Source organism: Homo sapiens, chromosome 7 (assembly GCF_000001405.40).
Source record: "Homo sapiens chromosome 7, GRCh38.p14 Primary Assembly".
Taxonomy (NCBI): Eukaryota; Metazoa; Chordata; class Mammalia; order Primates; family Hominidae; genus Homo; species Homo sapiens.
Genome location: NC_000007.14, coordinates 94,968,524 through 94,989,922, shown reverse-complemented (window position 1 = coordinate 94,989,922; position 21,399 = coordinate 94,968,524). Strand labels below are relative to the sequence as shown.

At 37.4% G+C, this 21,399-nt stretch overlaps 1 protein-coding gene across 43 annotated transcripts in view, besides 1 other annotated feature; it reads right to left on the bottom strand.

Annotated features, from left to right (window-relative positions):
• The window catches only part of PPP1R9A (protein phosphatase 1 regulatory subunit 9A), a 389,180-nt gene that overhangs the window by 306,493 nt on the left and 61,288 nt on the right, over window positions 1–21,399 (bottom strand). The window lies entirely within an intron of this gene.
• Window positions 19,983–20,825: an enhancer, noted in NCBI's record as "H3K27ac-H3K4me1 hESC enhancer chr7:94598410-94599252 (GRCh37/hg19 assembly coordinates)". NCBI's record gives its function as "activates a minimal SCP1, AML or CMV promoter by ChIP-STARR-seq in naive H9 embryonic stem cells {active_cell/tissue: H9 hESC(naive)}" and the evidence as "EXISTENCE:reporter gene assay evidence [ECO:0000049][PMID:30033119]".

Sequence of the window (21,399 nt, the reverse complement as noted above, 5' to 3'; positions counted from 1 at the left end):
AAAAACTTCACAACTACTTTATTATATAAATGCATATTTAATTCCTTTATAGGCAATCAAGAGGTTAAAATATCAGCTAACAGGGGCAATCTGACCTTGATTTTTCAAATAATGAACTGGCTACGTATGAAATAATCTGTATAAGAAATAAGTTGTATAAGAAAACATGATTTAGTAAATAAGTATTACAAATATACTAAATATTTTGTCTGTTACATTAAGCCGATGGTTCTCAAACTTCAGACTGCATCAGAATCACCTGAGGAGTTTGGTAAAAAGCCACTGTAAGGAAATTGGGAATGAGAAAAAAGATGACAGTGCACTCAAGATGAAAAAATATGGACTTTGTGGTACAAAACCTTCCACGTTTTCTAATTCTAGCTTTTCATTGACTTCGAGCTATACTGCAACTCAAATTGTTGATTAACTGCTGTAGATAACTGAGAGCAATGTAAATTATTCTAGTCTGGAGACATGCAAGAAAATTCTGTCCCATGGAGGTTCAACTGACTACCCCCAATAGAAAGTCAGTTTGCTGACCACTTGGAAATTTAGTTCAATATCCTTTACTCCACATAAATTTGTGCTTCTTTGAACTGTTTATAATATCTGACTAGTTCCATCATTAATGACTTAAATAAAATCTTCAAAATGTGTTCAATACTTAGATAACTCATTATTTGTATCTAGATAAGAGTGTTAATTTTACATCTCTTTGAAACCCTAAGTCAGTGGGGTTTTTTTTCACATATGGTTCTAAAACCAGCCTCATTAACATCACCTGGAAACTTGTTAGAAATGCACATTCTCAGGCTACATTTAGACCTACTTTTCTAACCAAACTTCCAGGTAATTCTGATGCAAGCTAAAATCTGAAAGCTACTGGACTAAAAGAGTCCTCAAAACTGTGATAACCATTGTTTTAGAGTTAACTATTTTGATTGTTTTCTGTTGTAAAGTCAAAGGGTTCACCAAATTTAATCAGTAGTTTTACATGGGAGTAAAATAACCTAAAAGATTTAATGCAAATTTTAAAACTCCTGAACAGCTAAGGACTGAAAAAAAAAATCAGGCTAAATTATGGGGTGGGAGGCAGGTTATCAATCCAGGATGTTAGGATATGAAACAGTATAAGTATATGTATATGTATTTGTATTACATCTATTCTAAAGCTGAAACTCTGCCTACTTTACACCTACAGAATGGTTTACTCTCAACATATATTTTGACTCATAACTTCTTATTTTCATTTTTTTAGAAAGTAGACGTTTCTCATTTCACTTTTCCACTGTTTTCAATAAAGGTTAAGAAAATGTAACAGAAGTAAATACCTACATAATTCAGACACTCAAATTCTGTTTCTATACTCACTAGGAATTATTTAGCCTAGTTTTCAGATCTAATCAGATCTGCTGGAAATTGGCTCATCCCTCCAATTCACTAATTACTTAAATACACACAGTGTCACCACTTGGAAACATTACTAAAACAAAAAAAACTTACTAAACTGTTGAGCTGGTGTCTTATCCAATAATTTTTAATAAATTGGAAAGGTCTCTTCTTAAATACTTAAGTTACAAATATGTAAAATAAGCACCAGAATATGAGAAGATATGGAGGATCTATTGTCAAATTATAAAAGACTTTTAATATTCTTGATTTTTGTTTTGTTTTAACTGAGGTATTTCCTCCAGAATTGTAATATACACATATTTGGGTTATGTCTTCATATTCCCAATATCTCCTTCTAACAAAATTTTCTGGTATTTTAATTGTAATAAAGACCAAACATCAGCAGGCAGAGTTTCCCATCTGGAAACAGATGAAAAATTCCTAGGCCTTTAGCCCACAAGTGTCCAGGGTAATGAACCTCTGATCCAATTCCAAGTATTTACTGTGTTAACTATTTTTTTAATCAAATAAATAAAACTTATACACAGTAGGATGTGTTTTATCACCTTTAAGTTAGAATATTAAGTGACTTACAATGCAAAACATGACAAGAACTGTACTTCAAATGACAGTTAATATTTTACAAAGAGAATAAAGCTGGAAATCTGAATAACATCTCAAATGTATGTAATAAGATAAGGAGGAATTGAGAAAAAACAATAATAGTAAGTTAGCAAATAAGCTAACAACTATTCTAAACATGTTTTCAAAAGAAGAGAACATCTTTTTAAAGTTAAAAAATGGCTCATACATAATAGTGTACAAATTGCATTTTATAAAACATTTTTACATGTCCCATACCACTATAAATAATTTCATAAATATCCCTTTCAATGGTTGCATAAAATAGCATTCAGGGAAGATACCTAAAATGTGTCACTTTTAGGGTAAGGGTATGTGACTGTTCACTAGTTTAAATAACGCTACAGAGAACTTTCATCCTTTTGAATTATTTACATAGAATACACTATGAGAAGTAGGCTTACTAGCTCAAAGGATACGAATACATCTTGATTTTTACTGGAAGAAATACCTCCTCTCCTACTATCACACTTGATGCAAAAGGAGTATTACTTTATCTATATAGTTAAGATACTGTTTTCTTAATAGGATTTAATTTCTAAATCTTCAACCATATTTGCAGTTTCACTAAATTTACAATTTTTTCTTTTAAATAAATTTTGAGACGCTGCTTATCTGCTGAATAGGACACAACAGAATGAATTACTTTATGTGACATAAACAGCAGAGCCACAGCCAAAGCTAGGTTTAAAAGAGAAAAAGGTTTGAAAACGACAAATATTCCCTACTTTGTCAACCACACAATGTTCTCCTCTGGTTGATATTTTATCAATTTCTGACCATTTGCAAACATTTTATTTTTATTCCTAAACTTCACTGGTCTCTTACTTTGAGATCACCAAGGAACTGGATAGTTCATGTTATCAATTATAAGAGAAAAGTGGCCCAATCCATACCCCGACAAGAGAACAGCTCCACACCAAAGGCTGCTGCCCAAACCCTACTGGCCAGCTCCTATATGGCTGGTGAGCAATGGATACTTTTACAACATTAAAGATCTGGCATAAGCCAATCTTATAATAAAAAAGACAAAACAAAGTTACCTAAAACTAGAAGCAGCAGCAGCTTTTTAAAAGTATATAGTCTATTCAAAAGTCAAAATCATAAATCTATTTCTTTTTCCCTTTTCTTTTTAATTGACACATAATAATTGTACATATTCATGGAATACAGTGTGCTATTTCAATGCCTGTGTATCCAGTGTATAATGATTAAATCTGGATAATTAAGATATGCAGCACCTCAAACATTTATCATTTTGTGCTGTGAACATTCAAAATCTTCTAGCTTTTTGAAAATATACACTAAATTACTGTTACCCATAATCATCCTACATTGCTGTACAACACTGGAATTTATTCCTCTCTTCTAGCTATAATTTTGTATCTGTTAACCAACCTCTCCTAGCCTCTAATAACCACAATTCTACTCTCTACCTCTATCCGCTCATGTTTTAGCTCCTATATATGAGTGAGAACACAGTATTTATCTTTCTGTGCCTGACTTAGTTCACTTAGTATAATGTCCTCCAGGTTCATCCATGTTGCAGAGAAGCATGAATCTATTTCTGAATGTCAATATTTTAATCCATGTAACAATAATTTTAATAATTTTATTATAAGAGAGCATGAAGTCAAGTGGACAAGAATATTGGAAAAGGAAGAGACAACAGAACAGGTTCTTCTAGAATTTGAGCAATGGAAATGCAAGTTTAACTAAAAAGAAAATAATGGTAGTGGTAAAAGTATAACACAACCTTGAAAGAACCTACCTAACATATTATTCACCAAAACCAGTGCTACAAACTTTCCCCAACCATCAAAATTTTCTCCATTATATTTTTTGCTTGCTGATATCAAGTTAGCTTCCAAAGATTTTAAAACTTGTGCAAACTCACTTACACTGAATATCTGAAAAAAGCTATTATGTCTCCTCCTCCCAACAGCCAAATCTTCCTCAAGATAAATATCTCATTTTTCTGAAAACTTTCTCATATCCATCCATACATGGCAATTGCCATTAGCTATTAAAATTAAGTTGAAGAATATTTAACAATCTGAAAGAAAATTTTATGATTCCATTTTTTTATAGAGTAATAGAGAAGAATTGGGGCAAGTGCCCTCAATCATAAGAAACTCTCCTCTAAGACCTATCTCACGTGCAGAGACACACACAGGCTCAAAATAAAGGGACGGAGGAAGATGTACCAAGCAAATGGAAAGCAAAAAAAAATAAAAGCAGGAGTTGCAATCCCAGTCTCTGATAAAACAGATTTTAAACCAACAAAGATCAAAAGAAACAAAGAAGTCCATCACATAATGGTAAAGGGATCAATTCAACAAGAAGAGCTAAGTATCCTAAATATATATGCATCCAATACAGGAGCACCCAGATTCATAAGGTAAGTCCTGAGAGATCTAAAAAGAGACTTACACTCCCACACAATAATAATGGGAGACTTTAATACCCCACTGTGAATATTAGACAGATCAACGAGACGGAAGGTTAACAAGGATATCCAGGACTTGAACTCAGCTCTGCACCAAGCAGACCTAATAGACATCTACAGAACTCTCCACCCCAAATCAACAAAATATACATTATTCTCAGCATCACATTGCACTTATTCCAAAATTGACCACATAGTAAAGCACTCCTCAGCAAATGTAAAAGAACAGAAATAATAAACTGTCTCTCAGACCACAGTGCAATCAAACTAGAACTCAGGGTTAAGAAACTCACTCAAAACTGCACAACTACATGGAAACTGAACAATCTGCTCCTGAATGACGACTGGGTAAATAACAAAATGAAGGCAGAAATAAAGATGTACTTTGAAACCAATGAGAACGAAGACACAACATACCAGAATTTCTGGGACATATTTAAAACAGTGCGTAGAAGGAAATTTACAGCACTAAATGCCCACAAGAGAAAGCAGGAAAGATCAAAAATTGACACCCTAACATCACAATTAAAAGAACTAGAGAAGCAAGAGCAAACAAATTCAAAAGTTAGCAGAAGGCAAGAAATAACTAAGATCAGAAAAGAACTGAAGGAGATAGAGACACAAAAAACCCTTCAAAAAAATCAATGAATCCAGGAGCTGCTTTTTTGAAAAGATCAACAAAATTGATAGACCACTACCAAGACTAATAAAGAAGGAAAGAGAGAAGAATCAAATAGATGCAATAAAAAATGATAAAGGGGATATCACCACCGATCTCAAGGAAATACAAACTACCATCAGAGAATACTATAAACACCTCTATGCAAATAAATTAGGAAATCTGGAAGAAATGGATAAATTCCTGGACACATACACCCTCCCAAGACTAAACAAGGAAGAAGCTGAATCTCTGAATAGACCAATAACAGGCTCTGAAATTGAGGCAATAATTAAGAGCCTACCAACCAAAAAAACTCCGAGACCAGATGGATTCACAGCCAAATTCTATCAGAGGTACAGAAAGGAGCTGGTCCCATTCCTTTTGAAACTATTCCAATCAATAGAAAAAGAGAGAATTCTCCCTAACTCATTTTATGAGGCAAACATCACCCTGATACCAAAGCCTGGCAGAGACACAGCAAAAAAAGAGAATTTTAGACCAATATCCCTGACGAACATTGATGCAAAAATCCTCAATAAAATATTGGCAAACCGAATCCAGCAGCACATCAAAAAGCTTATCCACTAAGATCAAGTGGGCTTCATCCCTGGGATGCAAGGCTGGTTCAACATACGCAAATCAATAAATGTAATCCAGCATGTAAACAGAACCAAAGACAAAAACCACATGATTATCTCAATAGATGCAAAAAAGGCCTTCGATAAAATTCAACAGGCCTTCATGCTAAAAACTCTCAATAAACTAGGTATTGATGGAACCTATCTCAAAATAATAAGAGCTATTTATGACAAACCCACAGCCAGTATCATACTGAATGGGCAAAAACTGAAAGCATTCCCTTTGAAAACTGGCACAAGACAGGGATGCCCTCTCTCACCACTCCTATTCAACATAGTGTTGGAAGTTCTGGCCAGGGAAATCAGGCAAGAGAAAGAAATAAAAGGTATTCGATTAGGAAACGAGGAAGTCAAACTGTCCCTGTTTGCAGATGACATGATTGTATATTTAGAAAATCCCATCATCTCAGCCCAAAATCTCCTTAGGCTGATAAGCAACTTCAGCAAAGTCGCAGGATACAAAATCAATGTGCAAAAATCACAAGCATTCTTATACACCAATAACAGACAGACAGAGAGCCAAATCATGAGTGTACCCTCATTCACAATTGCTACAAAGAGAATAAAATACCCAGGAATACAACTTACAAGGGATGTGAACGACCTCTTCAAGGAGAACTACAAACCACTGCTCAATGAAATAAAAGATGACACAAACAAATTGAAGAATATTCCATGCTCATGGATAGGAAGAATCAGTATCATGAAAATGGCCATACTGCTCAAGGTAATTTATAGATTCAATGCCATCCCCATCAAGCTACCAATGACTTTCTTCACAGAATTGGAAAAAACTACTTTAAAGTTCATATGGAACCAAAAAAGAGCCCAAATGGCCAAGACAATCCTAAGCAAAAAGAACAATGCTGGAGGCATCAAGTTACCTGACTTCAAACTATACTACAAGGCTACAGTAACCAAAACAGCATGGTACTGGTACAAAAACAGAGATATAGACCAATAGAACAGAACAGAGCCCTCAGAAATAACACCACACATCTACAACCATCTGATCTTTGACAAATTTGACAAAAACAAGCAATGAGGAATTTATTAAATAGGAATTCCCTATTTAATAAATGTTGCTGGGGAAACTGGCTAGCCATATGTAGAAAGCTGAAACTGGATCCTTTCCTTATACCTTATACAAAAATTAATTCAAGATGGATTAAAGACTTAAATGTTAGACCTAAAACCATAAAAACCCTAGAAGAAAACCTAGGCAATACCCATTCAGGACATAAGCATGGGCAAGGACTTCATGACTAAAACACCAAAAGCAATGGCAACAAAAGCCAAAATGGGATCTAATTAAACTGAAGAGCTTCTGCACAGCAAAAGAAACTACCATCAGAGTGAACAGGCAACCTACAGAATGGGAGAAAATTTTTGCAATCTACTCATCTGACAAAGGGCTAATATCCAGAATCTACAAAGAACTCAAACAAATTTACAAGAAAAAATCAAACAACCCCATCAAAAAGTGGGCAAAGGATATGAACAGACACTTTTCAAAAGAAGACATTTATGCAGCCAACAGACACATGAAAAAATGCTCATCATCACTGGTCATCAGAGAAATGCAAATCAAAACCACAATGAGATACCATCTCATGCCAGTTAGAATGGCGATCATTAAAAAGTCAGGAAACAACGGGTGCTGGAGAGGATGTGGAGAAATGGGAACACTTTTACATTGTGGGTGGGACTGTAAAGTAGTTCAACCATTGTGGAAGACAGTGTGGCAATTCCTCAAGGATCTAGAACTAGAAATACCATTTGACCCAGTGATCCCATTACTGGGTATATACCCAAAGAATTATAAATCATACTACTATAAAGACACATGCACACCTATGTTTACTGTGGCACTATTCACAATAGCAAAGACTTGGAACCAACCCAAATGTCCATCAATGATAGACTGGATTAAGAAAATGTGTCACATATACACCATGGAATACTATGCAGCCATAAAAAATGATGAGTTCATGTCCTTTGTAGGGACATGGATGAAGCTGGAAACCATCATTCTGAGCAAACTATAGCAAGGATGGAAAACCAAACACTGCATGTTCTTGCTCATAGATGGGAATTGAACGATGAGAACTCTTGGGCACAGGGCGGGGAACATCACACACTGAGGCCTGTAGTGGGGTGGGGGGTTGGGGGAGGGATAGCATTAGGAGAAATACCTAATGTAAATGATGAGTTAATGGGTGCGGCAAACCAACATGGCACGTGTATACATATGCAACAAACCTGCACATTGTGCACAGGTACCCTAGAACTTAAAGTATAATTAAAAAAAATTAAATTAAATTAAAAAAAGAAACTCTTCTCTGTAATAATCACAGCAACTTGTAACAACCTCAATTTTGCTTCATGACTGCTATGAAAATATGGACACTAGTGTGAAAAGACAAGAAATACAAAATTGTATTAGAATATATGTACATATGTATGTATAATAGCCTAAGATGAAGACTTCACCTGAAAATAACACCAGCTGGAGGTTGAAAAGAAAATTATCTGTAATACAAGGTGAAAATATGCCCACAAGATAATTATCTGTAATAATAAGTTTTTTTTAAAAAAAACGTAGGCCAGGCACAGTGGCTCATGCCTGTAAACCCAACACTTTGGGAGGCTGAGGCAGGCTCATCAGAGGTCAGGAGTTTGAGACCAGCCTGGCCAACATGGTGAAACCCCATCTGTACTAAAAATACAAAAATTAGCCGGCTGCGGTAGCGCACTCCTGTAGTCTCAGCAATTCAGGAGGCTGAGGCAGGAGAATTGCTTGAACCTGAGAGACAGAGGTTGCAGTGAGCCGAGATCGAGATCTTGCCACTGCACTACAGCCTGGGCGACAGAGTGAGACTGTGTCTCAAAAAAAATAAATAAATAAGTACACTGGGCCCCCTGCCTAAGAAGGTTTATGGGAACAAGGGTACCCTACTCAACAGAAAGAATGTGACATCTGAGACCAAAAACCTAAGCTTCTAGCTCACATTTTCTTCTTTAAGCTAGATACAAATGAGATGATGAAAAACTGTGAGCAAGCAACCATCTCCCATTATTCTCTAGCACAGCTGCACAGCAATTTACAAATATTTATTCACTTGCTTATTATCTCTTCCACTACACTGAAATTCCTGGAGATAAGGACGGCCTGTTTGTTCACCTTCAAATAGGCAGTGGTAAGTTCAGAGCGTGGCACACAGATGCCACTCAACAAAGATTAGTTATACAAATATATGACTCTTCTATATGCATTTTTAAAATTATCTGATGGTAGAGATCACTTTCTTATGGTCAGTGGGCTTTGAGTAATATTCAATATTTTTATCCTTCTCATAAGAACCCAGATCAAAGAAGTTATTTTTATGTACACTGTCACAGTAACATACTCCATAGTTGTGCGGCACCTCAGAGATAAGGTAGGCCAGGATTTTTCAAAAAGCAAGTTATGACTCAGTAAGGGTTATGAAATCAATTTAGCTCATGTCCAACTTTTTCTAAAAAAAAAAAAAAACACTAAACTGGGCATGGTAGCATGCGCCTGTAGTCCCAGCTACTTGGGAGGCTGAGGTGAGAGGATTACCTGAGCCCAGGAGGTTGCGTCACCACACTCTAGCCTGAGCGACAGAGTGAGACCCTGTCTCAAAAACTGAATATTTTATAAACAGCTAGAAAAGTATTAGAATGTACTGTACAATGTAAAAGTAAGTACTATTTCATGAAACTTTTATTTTATATATATAACTGTAATATTAATACAATATTAATACACACACACGCACATAAATGTGCCAATGCACTGCTTAGAGCAAGCTTGTCCAACCTGTGGCCCACGGGCCGCATGAGGCCCAGGGTGGCTTTGAAAGCGGCCCAACACAAATTCGTAAACTTTCTTAAACATTATGAGATTTTCTGTGATTTTTTTTTTTTTTTTTTTAGCTCATCAGCTATTGTTAGTATATTTCATGTGTGGCCCAAGGCGATTCTTCTTCCAGTGTGACCCAGGGAAGCCAAAAGATTGGACACCCCAGCTTAGAGTGTAGAGTTGTGGCCAAATTTTAAGAACAAGCATCAATCTAGACAATTACGCCAATGGTAAAAGAAGCATTAGTCTAGACAATTATACCAATTCACAAGTATTATGAATTTTCTGACTTAATATTTCAATCCTTACAGGTAAATACTAAAAAGGTACCCCAAAACCAAAAAAAAATACCTTTAACATTGTCAACCAAAGTAACATATACTCAACCATTCTTTTTCTCTTGTCAGATAATTGAGTTATGCCTGCACACCACCAAACTAGCATTTGGCTTTCACTATTTTAAATAACTGGCCATAGGACATAGGAGACATCTGCACAGTTACAATTAAAAACAAAAGCTGAGTAAAGAGCCTTACTCCTTCACCTAAGCCACCACAGAATTTGGTGTTTCCCCTGGAGAAAATTAAGAGGTAATAATGACACTTGCCTCATTGGGTATTCAGAGATCTTCCATGGGGTGACCTTGATAATAACAGATTACAAGTAACTCTAAGTCAACTGAAAACAGCTTTCTAAAAAACTTTTTTTAAGTCCACACTATCTAGAAATAACCTAAAATTACTGTCAAAGCTTTGCATCCATTTGCTAAGTAGCATTTAACATTAGTGCTTATTATCTTTTGTAAAAACCTAAGGGTGATACACTCAAACCACAAATCCCATTGAGAGATCTCCAAGAAAATTCACAGAGACAGCACTGATTAACAGCTACACTCTCCTATAAAGACTCACTAATGGAGATATACAGGATATACCTGGCTATTAATAAACTGAATTTAATACAATTTATTGCAGAAAAACTAAAAATGTAATCTGGCACTACAAATATATGACAAATCTGATTAACAAAATAAAAGAGTTTGCTCAAACAAGTAAACTCTAATAGTAAACCAACTGTCTCTCCCTTCAGAATTTGCCCAGAAAGCACCATAAACTTGATCTAAACAACTCAAATTCTATCACTACAAATGTTGATGTTGGCTGGACATGGTAGCTCATGCCTATAATCCCAGCACTTTGTGGGGCCAAGGCGGAGGAATCACTTGAGGTCAGCAGTTCGAGACCAGCCTGGCCAACATGGCAAAACCCCATCTTTACCAAAAATACAAAAATTAGCTGGGCCTGGTGGCACATGCCTGTAATCCTAGCTACTCGGGAGGCTGAGGCAGGAGAATAGCTTGAACCCAGGAGGCGAAGGTTGTAGTGAGCTGAGATCACGCCACTGCACTCCAGCCTGCGCAACAGAGCGAGACCGTGTCTCACAAAACAAAACAAAAACTGTTGATGTTTTAAGAAGAAGCACTACTCTGAACATCTAAATTAAATGGATTCTGGAAAATAAATCAGTCTAGAATTTTCAGAAATGTTGAAAAGTTGAAACAGTATTCAGAATACTTACACTAGGTCATTATTTCATTCTAAATATGACTGGTGTTTATTTTGGGAAAAGCACTCAGCGAAGAAACCACTGAATGAAAATGAATGCAGCCCACAAAAAAAAGATCAAGATAGAAAAAAGTGTCGAGAAATGAATTGGCAATGTAAAATTTTTAAGCAGCCTCCAAGAAAAGGAGTAAGTTTTTAGGAAAAATACTATCATGCCTAGAATTATTTATCAGGCTTTCATAACTTTACTGAAGGAGAATCTGTAATATTTATTCAGTCTTTCAAGCATTTATTCTTTCAGTAGCCATTTACATGTCACATAAAAATTTAGTCTACTCTATAATCATAAATCAATTAAAAACATGCAGGCTCTATATTTAGTAGATAGCCATAATTTGGCTTTTTGGTACAATTCAATCTCAGGTAAACTGAAACAATTTACTCTCCTAGATTATTCCTTAGCTAGGTATCTTATAAGAAATCACTTTATGGCCTAGGAGAATTATGCCACTCCCCATTCCCTATCCCTCAACGTTCACAGGCTTTGCATCACAATCTACTTTGAAGACACTGGAGCTAAACACTCACTTTATCCCCTTCATATCAGTCACCACAAGAAGCCCAAGATGGGCCGGGCATGGTGGCTCACGCCTGTAATCCCAGCACTTTGGGAGGCCGAGGCGGGTGGATCATGAGGTCAGGGATTCAAGACCAGCCTGGCCAATATGGTGAAATCCCATCTCTACTAAAAATACAAAAATTAGCCGGGCATGGTGGCACGTGCCTGTAGTCCCAGCTACTCAGGAGGCTGAGGCAGAAGAATCGCTTGAACCTGGGAGGCAGTGGTTGCAGTGAGCCGAGATCACGCCACTGAACTCCAGCCTGGGTGACAGAGCAAGATTCCATTTCAAAAAAAAAAAAAAAAGAAAATGAAAAAGAAGACCAAGATACCCAAGTCATCCTTCACCACCTAGCCTCTTATCACCATAACATTCTCTATATCCCCTGATTTGGCCTCATATCCCAACCATCCTCTCAGGAACTCATTGTCAATTGTCTACAGATTGATAAACAGTCTGACTTGTTAATCTTCAATTTAATTATCTCCTCTAAATTCTCTCCTGAACTCACCCCATTCAAGCTTTTGTCCCACCTCTCCATGAAAATGACTCCATTCAAAGATTACCAATGTCTTCAATGTTGCTCAATGGTCAATTCTCATCTTAGTCGAACCATCAGCAACATTTAACAAAACTGATCACCCCATTTTCTTGAAACATGTTTCTTAACTTGGCTTTTGGGGAACCATCTACCTCAGCTATTCTTGATGGTCACAGTTGCTCTTCTTGGTCTACTTTGCTGATTCCTTGTCTTCCCAGCCCCTCAATAATGGAGAGCTCTGGGGCTTGTGACTCGAATCTCTTCTTTTCCTATATTCACTCTCTAGTGACAACTGCCAAATTTCTCTTCAACCCAGACATCTCCCCTAAACTGCCTTTCGAACACCTCAATTTGAATGTCTAACAGGCACCTCAAGTTTAATATGTAAAAACCATATCCTTGATCCCCTCTTACTCCCACAAGCCCCCATATCCTTCAGTCTTCCCCACTGTAGGGAAAGGCAATTACAGGATTCTAGCTGTTTAGACCAAAAACCTGGCTGATATCCTTTACTCTCATATACCATAGCCAATCTGTTAGCCAAGTTGGATCTACCTTCCCAATATATCGCAACACACACTTACTTATTCAATTCTCATTTATTCTCTAGATCCCCAGCAAGAATATAACCTACATAAAGAAGGGACCATGTCTGTTTTGGTCACTGTAGTATCCCCAATACCTAGAATAGAGCCTGACACCAAGCAGATACTCAATAAATACATGTAGAGTGAATGATTAATAAATAAAAGATTCCAGATCCTTGATTCCATTCAAAATAACAGCCATCCCATCAAAGTAAAACATTCCCTGAGGCTGAAGTTAAAACAGCCTTACTCCCTGCTAAAAAGAACCTCTTTTATTTAATGAACACATATATTCACCAACCACAACCAGTCAAAACAAAATATGCATTAAGAATAAAACATGTTAGGCTGAGATAGGTGGATCACGAGGTCAGGAGATCGAGACCATCCTGGCTAACACACTGAAACCCCGTCTCCACTAAAAATATAAAAAATTAGCCAGACGTGGTGGCACATGCCTATAGTCTCAGCTACTCGGGAGGCTGAGGCAGGAGAATCGCCTGAACCCAGGAGTCAGAGGTGCAGTGGGCCGAGATCACACCACTGCACTCCAGCCTGGGTGACAGAGCGAGACTTCATCTCAAAAAAAAAAAAAAAGAATAAAACATGTTAAATATAACAGATAATGTATTATGCATGACTCACCAAAGAACTAAAATCCAACATAATAAACAATGCCGTAATAATTTTTGTATTATTTTATGTTATTAATAATTTAGTAGGTATTTTAGTTTTCTGTCCTGTACAATACCAGTCATCACCATACTTGACAGATAACAGATAATTTCCCAAATAAACTTTATATCATAAGCCCTTATCAGTCTCTTTTAAAGACAGAAAGTGATTAACTCTGTTAATCAATGCTGGCTAAAAAAAATACAGGAGCACTAACCATTTTGTAACCAAACCTGAACACACAATCCCTGATATAGAGACATAAACTTAATAATGACCCAACATTTAGAGAGAAAAGAGAAAGTAAAGAAAGAGGAAGACAGAGAAACCGGGGCTACTTTCTAAAATAGTAATCACTAGGGGAATGAATAACCTGAAATTGTACCTTTATAATTGAGAGGAAGGGGTTAAAAATGTACAATTAATAAATTACTGGTTTTTATGAATGACCAGTGACATCTTCTGAGAAGACCCCAATCCAGCTAAGCAAAGATAACCTATTTCTTTCAAACTGATTTGGGATATATTTTCCCACAGAAACAAAAATATCAACTCAATAAATGGAAATTGTACAGTTAATACTTAAAGTACATTTGGGTGAAAAATATTTGTGAACTGGCCTGGGAACATAGCCAGTAATTTTTGTACTGCTTCAATAAGGAAAAAAAAAATGTGTTCTGAGTTCCAAACAGCTGTCTTACACATAAACTTCTGAAACACAACTAGCTCATGTTCTGGAAACTGTGTATACAGGTTATATTTCAAGGGATTCAATTTGGCCCACAGCATTTCTGAATATGTTTAAGAATGAGTCACTTTACACTAGACCTCTTCCACTCAGATGCAGTTTCAAAGACCTCTAGCTTCAAGGATCTTAATCCTTAAAAAAAAAAAAAAAAAAAAAAAAAAACAAAAAAAAACTACAGCCTGTCCAGAGGTAAATGGAAATGTTGAACATTTTATAAATCTGCAGCAAAGCTAAAAGAACAGCTTCAAGCTACCAGGCTACTTTTCTTCATCTATGAATAAACTAGAGTAAACTTCCTTTATCACAGTGATTCATATCAATTTTTAGGTTATAGCACAATGTCACTGCTTATTTGATTTTGAGACCAGAGTATGTTATATACTAAGATTCTTCTAAAGACTGCAACACAGTATTTTTTTTCCAAATTAAGAGAAGAGTTCATTTTTTCAATAATTTAAAAATGCTAGCTAAACTTATCTGAAAAGCTCCCTAAGGGTCCTGAAAAATATGGATTAAGAATCATTTATATATAGGGACATATCAGATACTATAAACTTTCCTCTCAAATTCTATTACTGCTTACCAGAGCCCAGGATCTTAAAACTACAATCAATTTCCTGTATGGTGTCTATATTTCCTCAAATTAAAACACCATTTCTGTTTTCTCTTCTCTATAACTTTCTCTTCTCTATAACTTGTCTTGACTTATTTATGAGTTATTTTAATGTGCCTCTACTGAACAACTCAAATAGCTGACTTTAGTGATTGAAAATGCTGTTATCCAGTCAAGACCAGCTTGACTGTGGCAAAGACATTTATGTACGTTTCCCAGGAGTTAAGAAAATAAAACAAGAAGCGTCAATGTTTTTTTAGAAGAGAAACAAGAATGAAACTGTGTTGACCTGACGTAACTAAAGAGACCCATCACTGCCCCAGTGTTTCTTAGATGAATTAATCAGAAGAAAAGGACATGCTCTTGTTCTTTTTCCAACACCTTCCTCTGATACATCATCCACTCTCACACTACAATCCAACACAAAGATCTATTTTTATTGGACAGCTCGTTCCATTTGGATGTCCTGTCATCAAACTCATTGCAATATATAAAGATAACACTCAACTTATCCAAAACTAAACTTACCATTTCATCTTATAAAACTATTCTCCTAATTTCCATTTCTCTATCTATGATTATCCTGGTGTCTCTGGCTAGGAACTTGTTTACCATTTACATCAGAAATGCCGAGACTGCCTTTAAAAATGCAATTTCTGTCCTCTTACCCAACCTGCCAAAATCAGAACCTTACCAAGCTCCTTAGGCGATCCTAATACACACTCAAGTTTCAGAACCTCTATCTCAGATTCATCCTTAACTCATGCAGTTCATCCAATATCACATCCTTCATCTCTCAAAGCCTACTATTGTTGCCAGAGTGCAGGATCCTAAAACCACAATCAATTTCCTAAATGGTGTCTACATTTCCTCAAATTAAAATTTCTGAGGTCAGGCATAGTGGCTCATGCCTGCAATCCTAGCACTTAGGGAGGCTGAAGTGGAAGGATTGCTTGAGCTCAGTAGTCTGAGACCAGCCTAGGCAACATAATGAGACCCTGTCTCTACGAAAAATAAAAAATTAGCTGGATGTGACAGCATGCGCCTGTAATTCCAGCTACTTGGGAGGCTGAGATGGAAAGATCACTTGAGCCTTGAGGTTGAGGCAACAGTGAGCTATGATTGTGCCACTGCACTCCAGCCTGGGCAATAGAGCGAGACATTTTCTCAAAAAAAAAAAAAAAGAAAGAAAGAAAAAAAATAAAATTTCTAAAACACCACTTTTGTTTTCTCTGTTCTATAACTTGACTTATATACCATAAATAAAGGTCATCTTCCTAATTCTGACACTATCTAATCCCTATCTCTCTCTTGTCCCCTATGAATTATCTACTCTGATTACAAATGTTCATTCAACATGCTAATTCCTATCTCACTTACTATATTCATTTTAGTCTGTCATTCTCCACCACCAACAGTTCAACTCTCCAAAATCTATAACGTTCACTTTTTTTCTTATCCATCTATTCTTCAAGGGAATGCTTAAGTCCCAAACTCGCTTTTTGGTTCTCAACACATGACATCATTACAATTCAAGGCATTTTTTTAGCCTATCATTCTCTCTACATCTCCTAAACAATAATCTTATTAAATCACTTTTTAAAAATAAGCAGTTCAGCCCTTTTCAACTCTAGTTTATAACCTAAGGTAGAAAATAACTTAGTAAACAATAACCAAAATATAAAAACACATTATTTTTATGATGTGGTAGATATATTTCTTGCTTCAATATTTTGTGGAGGTTTCTTGTTTTCACAGTATTTAAGACAAGGGACAAAATCTCATAAAGCAAAAAAGTGAAGGAAGTGAAATCTCAGCATTGTTTTAAATGACTGAAACATCCTGGAAAAGTACGAAGTAATTTCTACTTCCGGTTTTTAAAAATATATTGTGTCCAGGAAGTCATTATTTCCTTACCATTAAGAATCTATTCATTCCATTGGTCTTTATAACTGTTATGGAATGGAAAGAACATGAAACTTGGATTCAGTAAGAGTGTATTAAATTTAGAATGGGATGACTTTTTGACAAGATCCTCTAACTCTCTAAGATCCAGTCTCCCCATCAGTAACATGGTAGTTACCAGGTCCCATGACTTGGCAACACTTAATAGTCAGATCACCTAAATCCTAAAATGTTCCAGGTGCTCTCAACCTGTCTTCAGATTAATCTTCCTCTAGGCTGCCAGTGTACACCTACTGCAAATCTACTTAATCGGCCATTCATTCTCTTCTTGCTCAGAAAGGCCAGTTCCTGGGAAGAAAACTCAAACCCAGGAAACACAGCTGGAATAAGTTAGTATCCTAGTCACTGTGCTAATGCTAGCAAAATCATAAATCTATTATTCACGGGATAATGCTTAGCTACTTGTGACAAATTGAAGGTTGAGAAAATATTTGCACAAAGAACCATCATACCAGCTGAGTCAGGGCCAAGGTAGAGGTCACTGCTAGAGAACAAGAAGCCTGTCACATTTGCAGGGAAAAAAAAAAAAAATTGGTCCTAACAGCATAAGTTAGGAATGCATTGTTTCATCTAAGAAAGGTTGTTGCTTTTCTCTCTGGTCAATGTTTGATTTGCATTAATGTAATAAATCATGAAAGTCAAAATCAATGTGAATCTTATCCACTTACATAACTAGAACTAAAACTTAGATAAACTACCTAATAAAAATAACAAGACCATATATACACAGTACAAAAGACCAGTAATAAGTACAGTACAATACCAAGGTTGTATGAAAAAACAGACAACTGCTTTTATGAATTAAAATTAGGCATTATTATTCACATCCCACAGCCACCTTCTATGTGTGCCTGGGTCATCATGGCCATAACAGAAATATCTCTGTATTTTAATTTAGAATCAACTCATTATGAGAATACAAACTGGGTAATAAGTTGTACTGAAGTATGTAAATAAATTGCATAAGGAGAGTTTGTAATGATGGAAGCCTTCTTCAACACAAAGCTTTAAATCAGGTTTTAAAGGAAATGACTATGAAAGCAAAGGGAAAAACTTAGGAAGAAAGAATTCTTATATCCTAACCAATTTAAAAATCCTGAAAATCTCAATAGATTAACAAAGTTCAATGTATTTGTCTTCTGAATAGCACTGAAGAGATTGTTAAAATACTTCAACTAGATTACTATGTCTATGAGTTGAAACAGCAACTTTCAGCACACCTTTTTTGGTTATTGCTTTGTTTGCTTCTCCGCTGACCTGCAATCACATGCAAACACTCCTATATAAAGACTACTGTGAGTACCACAGACTGACCCATACAGAGGGTTCCAAAGGTACATAATTTCACCTGCTAGCAACAAAAAGAATAGAAAACTGTGAATTCTCAAGATGATCTCAAAGAGTTTTGAAGATGACTACGATAGTCTAAATAAGAGTTAAGAGTTATTTTACACTTAATCAGTTTGTTTCACATTCTTTTGCAATGAGAAAATAACTAGGAAATCTGGCCATGGGTAATAAAGAAAAAAAGCGTTGCAGTCTTTTCTTGCTTGGTCATCTTTAGCAATTCATTTATCCAAAATTTCAAGCATGAAATGATTACCAAGTAGCTTTTGTCATAAAATGCCATTTGCCCATTAATACACTTGGCTGACTACCTGAGGATTACTTAAATGTGATTTCTACCAAGAAATCTTCCTAGACCTCCCCCACTGCACCCTGACCCCCAGTGGGAGGCTCCTCAGTGGTCCACCACTAAGTGATTATCACTCTTGAGGCACTCACCACACTGGCTTCTAACGGTTGACTTACAAGTATTGCTTTTTTTTCTCTTTTGTCCCTTTCCCCTCTCTCCTACTAGACTCTGAGCTCATCTGAAGACAGACTATCCCCAAGTTCTTACACAAATTCTGCCACAGAGTAGACACTTGACAAATGTTTGCTGAATGAGAAAGCATAGAGAGAGGGTGAGGACGCTAAAGACCACAGAGATCTTCCAGTTGTTGAACTTCCACTTACTATGTAAGAAATTAGAGGTACAGAAGATTTAAATACTAAAGCCATGGTTAGAAAACCCATTTCCACTACTCAAGGATGCTTCCTTATGTCAGTTCTTTATATACAGAATACAGAACCCTGTTTACTCTTAACAATGTAAAATTAAGTAGTCCCAGCTACTGAGGAGACTGAGGCAGAAGAATCGCTTGAACCCAGGAGGCGGAGGTTGCAATATGCTGAAATCGCACCACTGCACTCCAGCCTGGGCAACAGAGAGAGACTCTATCTCAAAAAAAAAAAAAAAAAAAAAGGTGGCTGGCAAGATGGTCAAATAGGAACAGCTCCAGTCTGCAGTTCCCAACAAGGTCAACACAGAAGATGGGTGATTTCTACATTTCTAACCGAGGTACGCAGCTCATCTCATTGGGACTGGTTAGAGAGTGGGTACAGCCCACAGACAGTGAGACAAAGCAGGGTGGGGCATGAGCCAAAGCAGGTTGGGGCATTGCCTCTCCCGGTAAGTGCAAGGGGTCAGGGAACTCCCTCCACTAGCCAAGTGAAGCCGTGAGGGACTGTGGAGTGAGGAACGGTTCACTCCAGCCCAGATACTATACTTTTCCCATGGTCTTTGCAATCTGCAGACCAGGAGTTTCCCTTTGGTGCCTATGCCACCAGGGCCTTGGGTTTCAAGCACAAAACTGGATGGCCGTTTGGGCAGACACCAAGCTAGCTGCTGGAGTGTTTTTTCATACCCCAGTGGCACCTGGAATGCCTGTGAGACAGAACCGTTCACTCCCTGGAAAGGGGGCTGAAGGCAGGGAGCCAAGCAGTCTAGCTCAGTGGATCCCACCCCCATGGAGCCCACCAAGCTAAGACCCACTGGCTTGAAACTCTCGTTGCCAGCACAGCAGTATGAAGTCGACCTGGGACACCCCAGCTTGGTGGGGGCAGGGGTGTCGACCATTACTGAGGCTTGAGTAGGCGGTTCTCCCCCTCACAGTGTAAACAAAGCCACCAGAAAGGTCGAACTGGGTGGGGCCCAACACAGCTCAGCAAAGGCACAATAGCCAGACTGACTCTCTACATTCCTCCTCTCTGGGCAGGGCATCTCCAAAAGAAAGGCAGCAGCCCCAGTCAGAGGCTTATAGATAAAACTCCCATCTCCTTGGGACAGAGCACCTGGGGGAAAGGGTGGCTCTGGGCGCAGCTTCAGCAGACTTAAACACTCCTGCCTGCCAGCTCTGAAGAGAGCAGGGAGTCTCCCAGCACAGTGCTTAAGCTCTGCTAAGCATCAGATTGCCTCCTCAAGTGCGTTGCTGACCCCTGTACCTCCTGATTGGGAGACACCTCCCAGCAGGGGTCGACAGATACCTCATACAGGAGAGATCTGACTGGCATCTGGAAGGTGCCCCACTGAGACAAAGCTTCCAGAGGCAGGAACAGGCAGCAATCTTTGCTGTTTGACAGCCTCCACTGGTAATACCCAGGCAAACAGGCTCTGGGGTAGACCTGCAGCAAACCCCAGCAGACCTGCAGCAGGGGGGCCTGACTGTTAGAAGGAAAACTAACAATCAGAAAGGAATAGCATCAATATTAACAAAAAGGACGTCCACACAGAAACCCCATCCAAAGGTCAACATGAAAACACAAAGGTAGATAAATCCACAAAGATGAGGAAAAACCAGCACAAAAAGGCTGAAAATTCCAAAAACCAGAATGCCTCTTCTCCTCCAAAGGATCATCACAACTCTTTGCCAGTAAGGGAACAAAACTGGATGGAGAATGAGTTTGACGAATTGACAGAAGTAGGCTTCAGAACATGGGTAATAACAAACTCCTCCAAGCTAAAGGAGCATGTTCTAACCCAATGCAAAGAAGCTAAGAACTTTGAAAAAAGGTTAGATGAATTGCTAACTAGAATAACCAGTTTAGAGAGGAACATAAATGACCTGATGGAGCTAAAAAACACAGCACGAGAACTTCGTGAAGCATACACAAGTATCAATAGCCGAATCGATCAAGCAGAAGAAAGCGTATCCAAGATTGAAGATCAACTTAATGAAATAAAGCATGAAGACAAGATTAGAGAAAAAAGAATCAAAAGGAACAAACAAAGCCTCCAAGAAATATGGGGCTATGTGAAAAGACCAAACCTACATTTGATTAGTGTACCTGAAAGTGACAGGGAGAATGGAACCAAGCTGGAAAACACTCTTTAGGATATTATCCAGGAGAACTTCTTAACCTTAAATGTAAACAAGTTATATGCCACAATTAAAAGACACAGACTGGCAAATTGGATGGAGTCAAGACTCATCGGTGTGCTGTATTCAGGAGACCGATCTTATGTGCTAAGACACACATAGGCTCAAAATAAAGAGATGGAAGAATATTTACCAGGCAAACGGAAAGCAAAAAA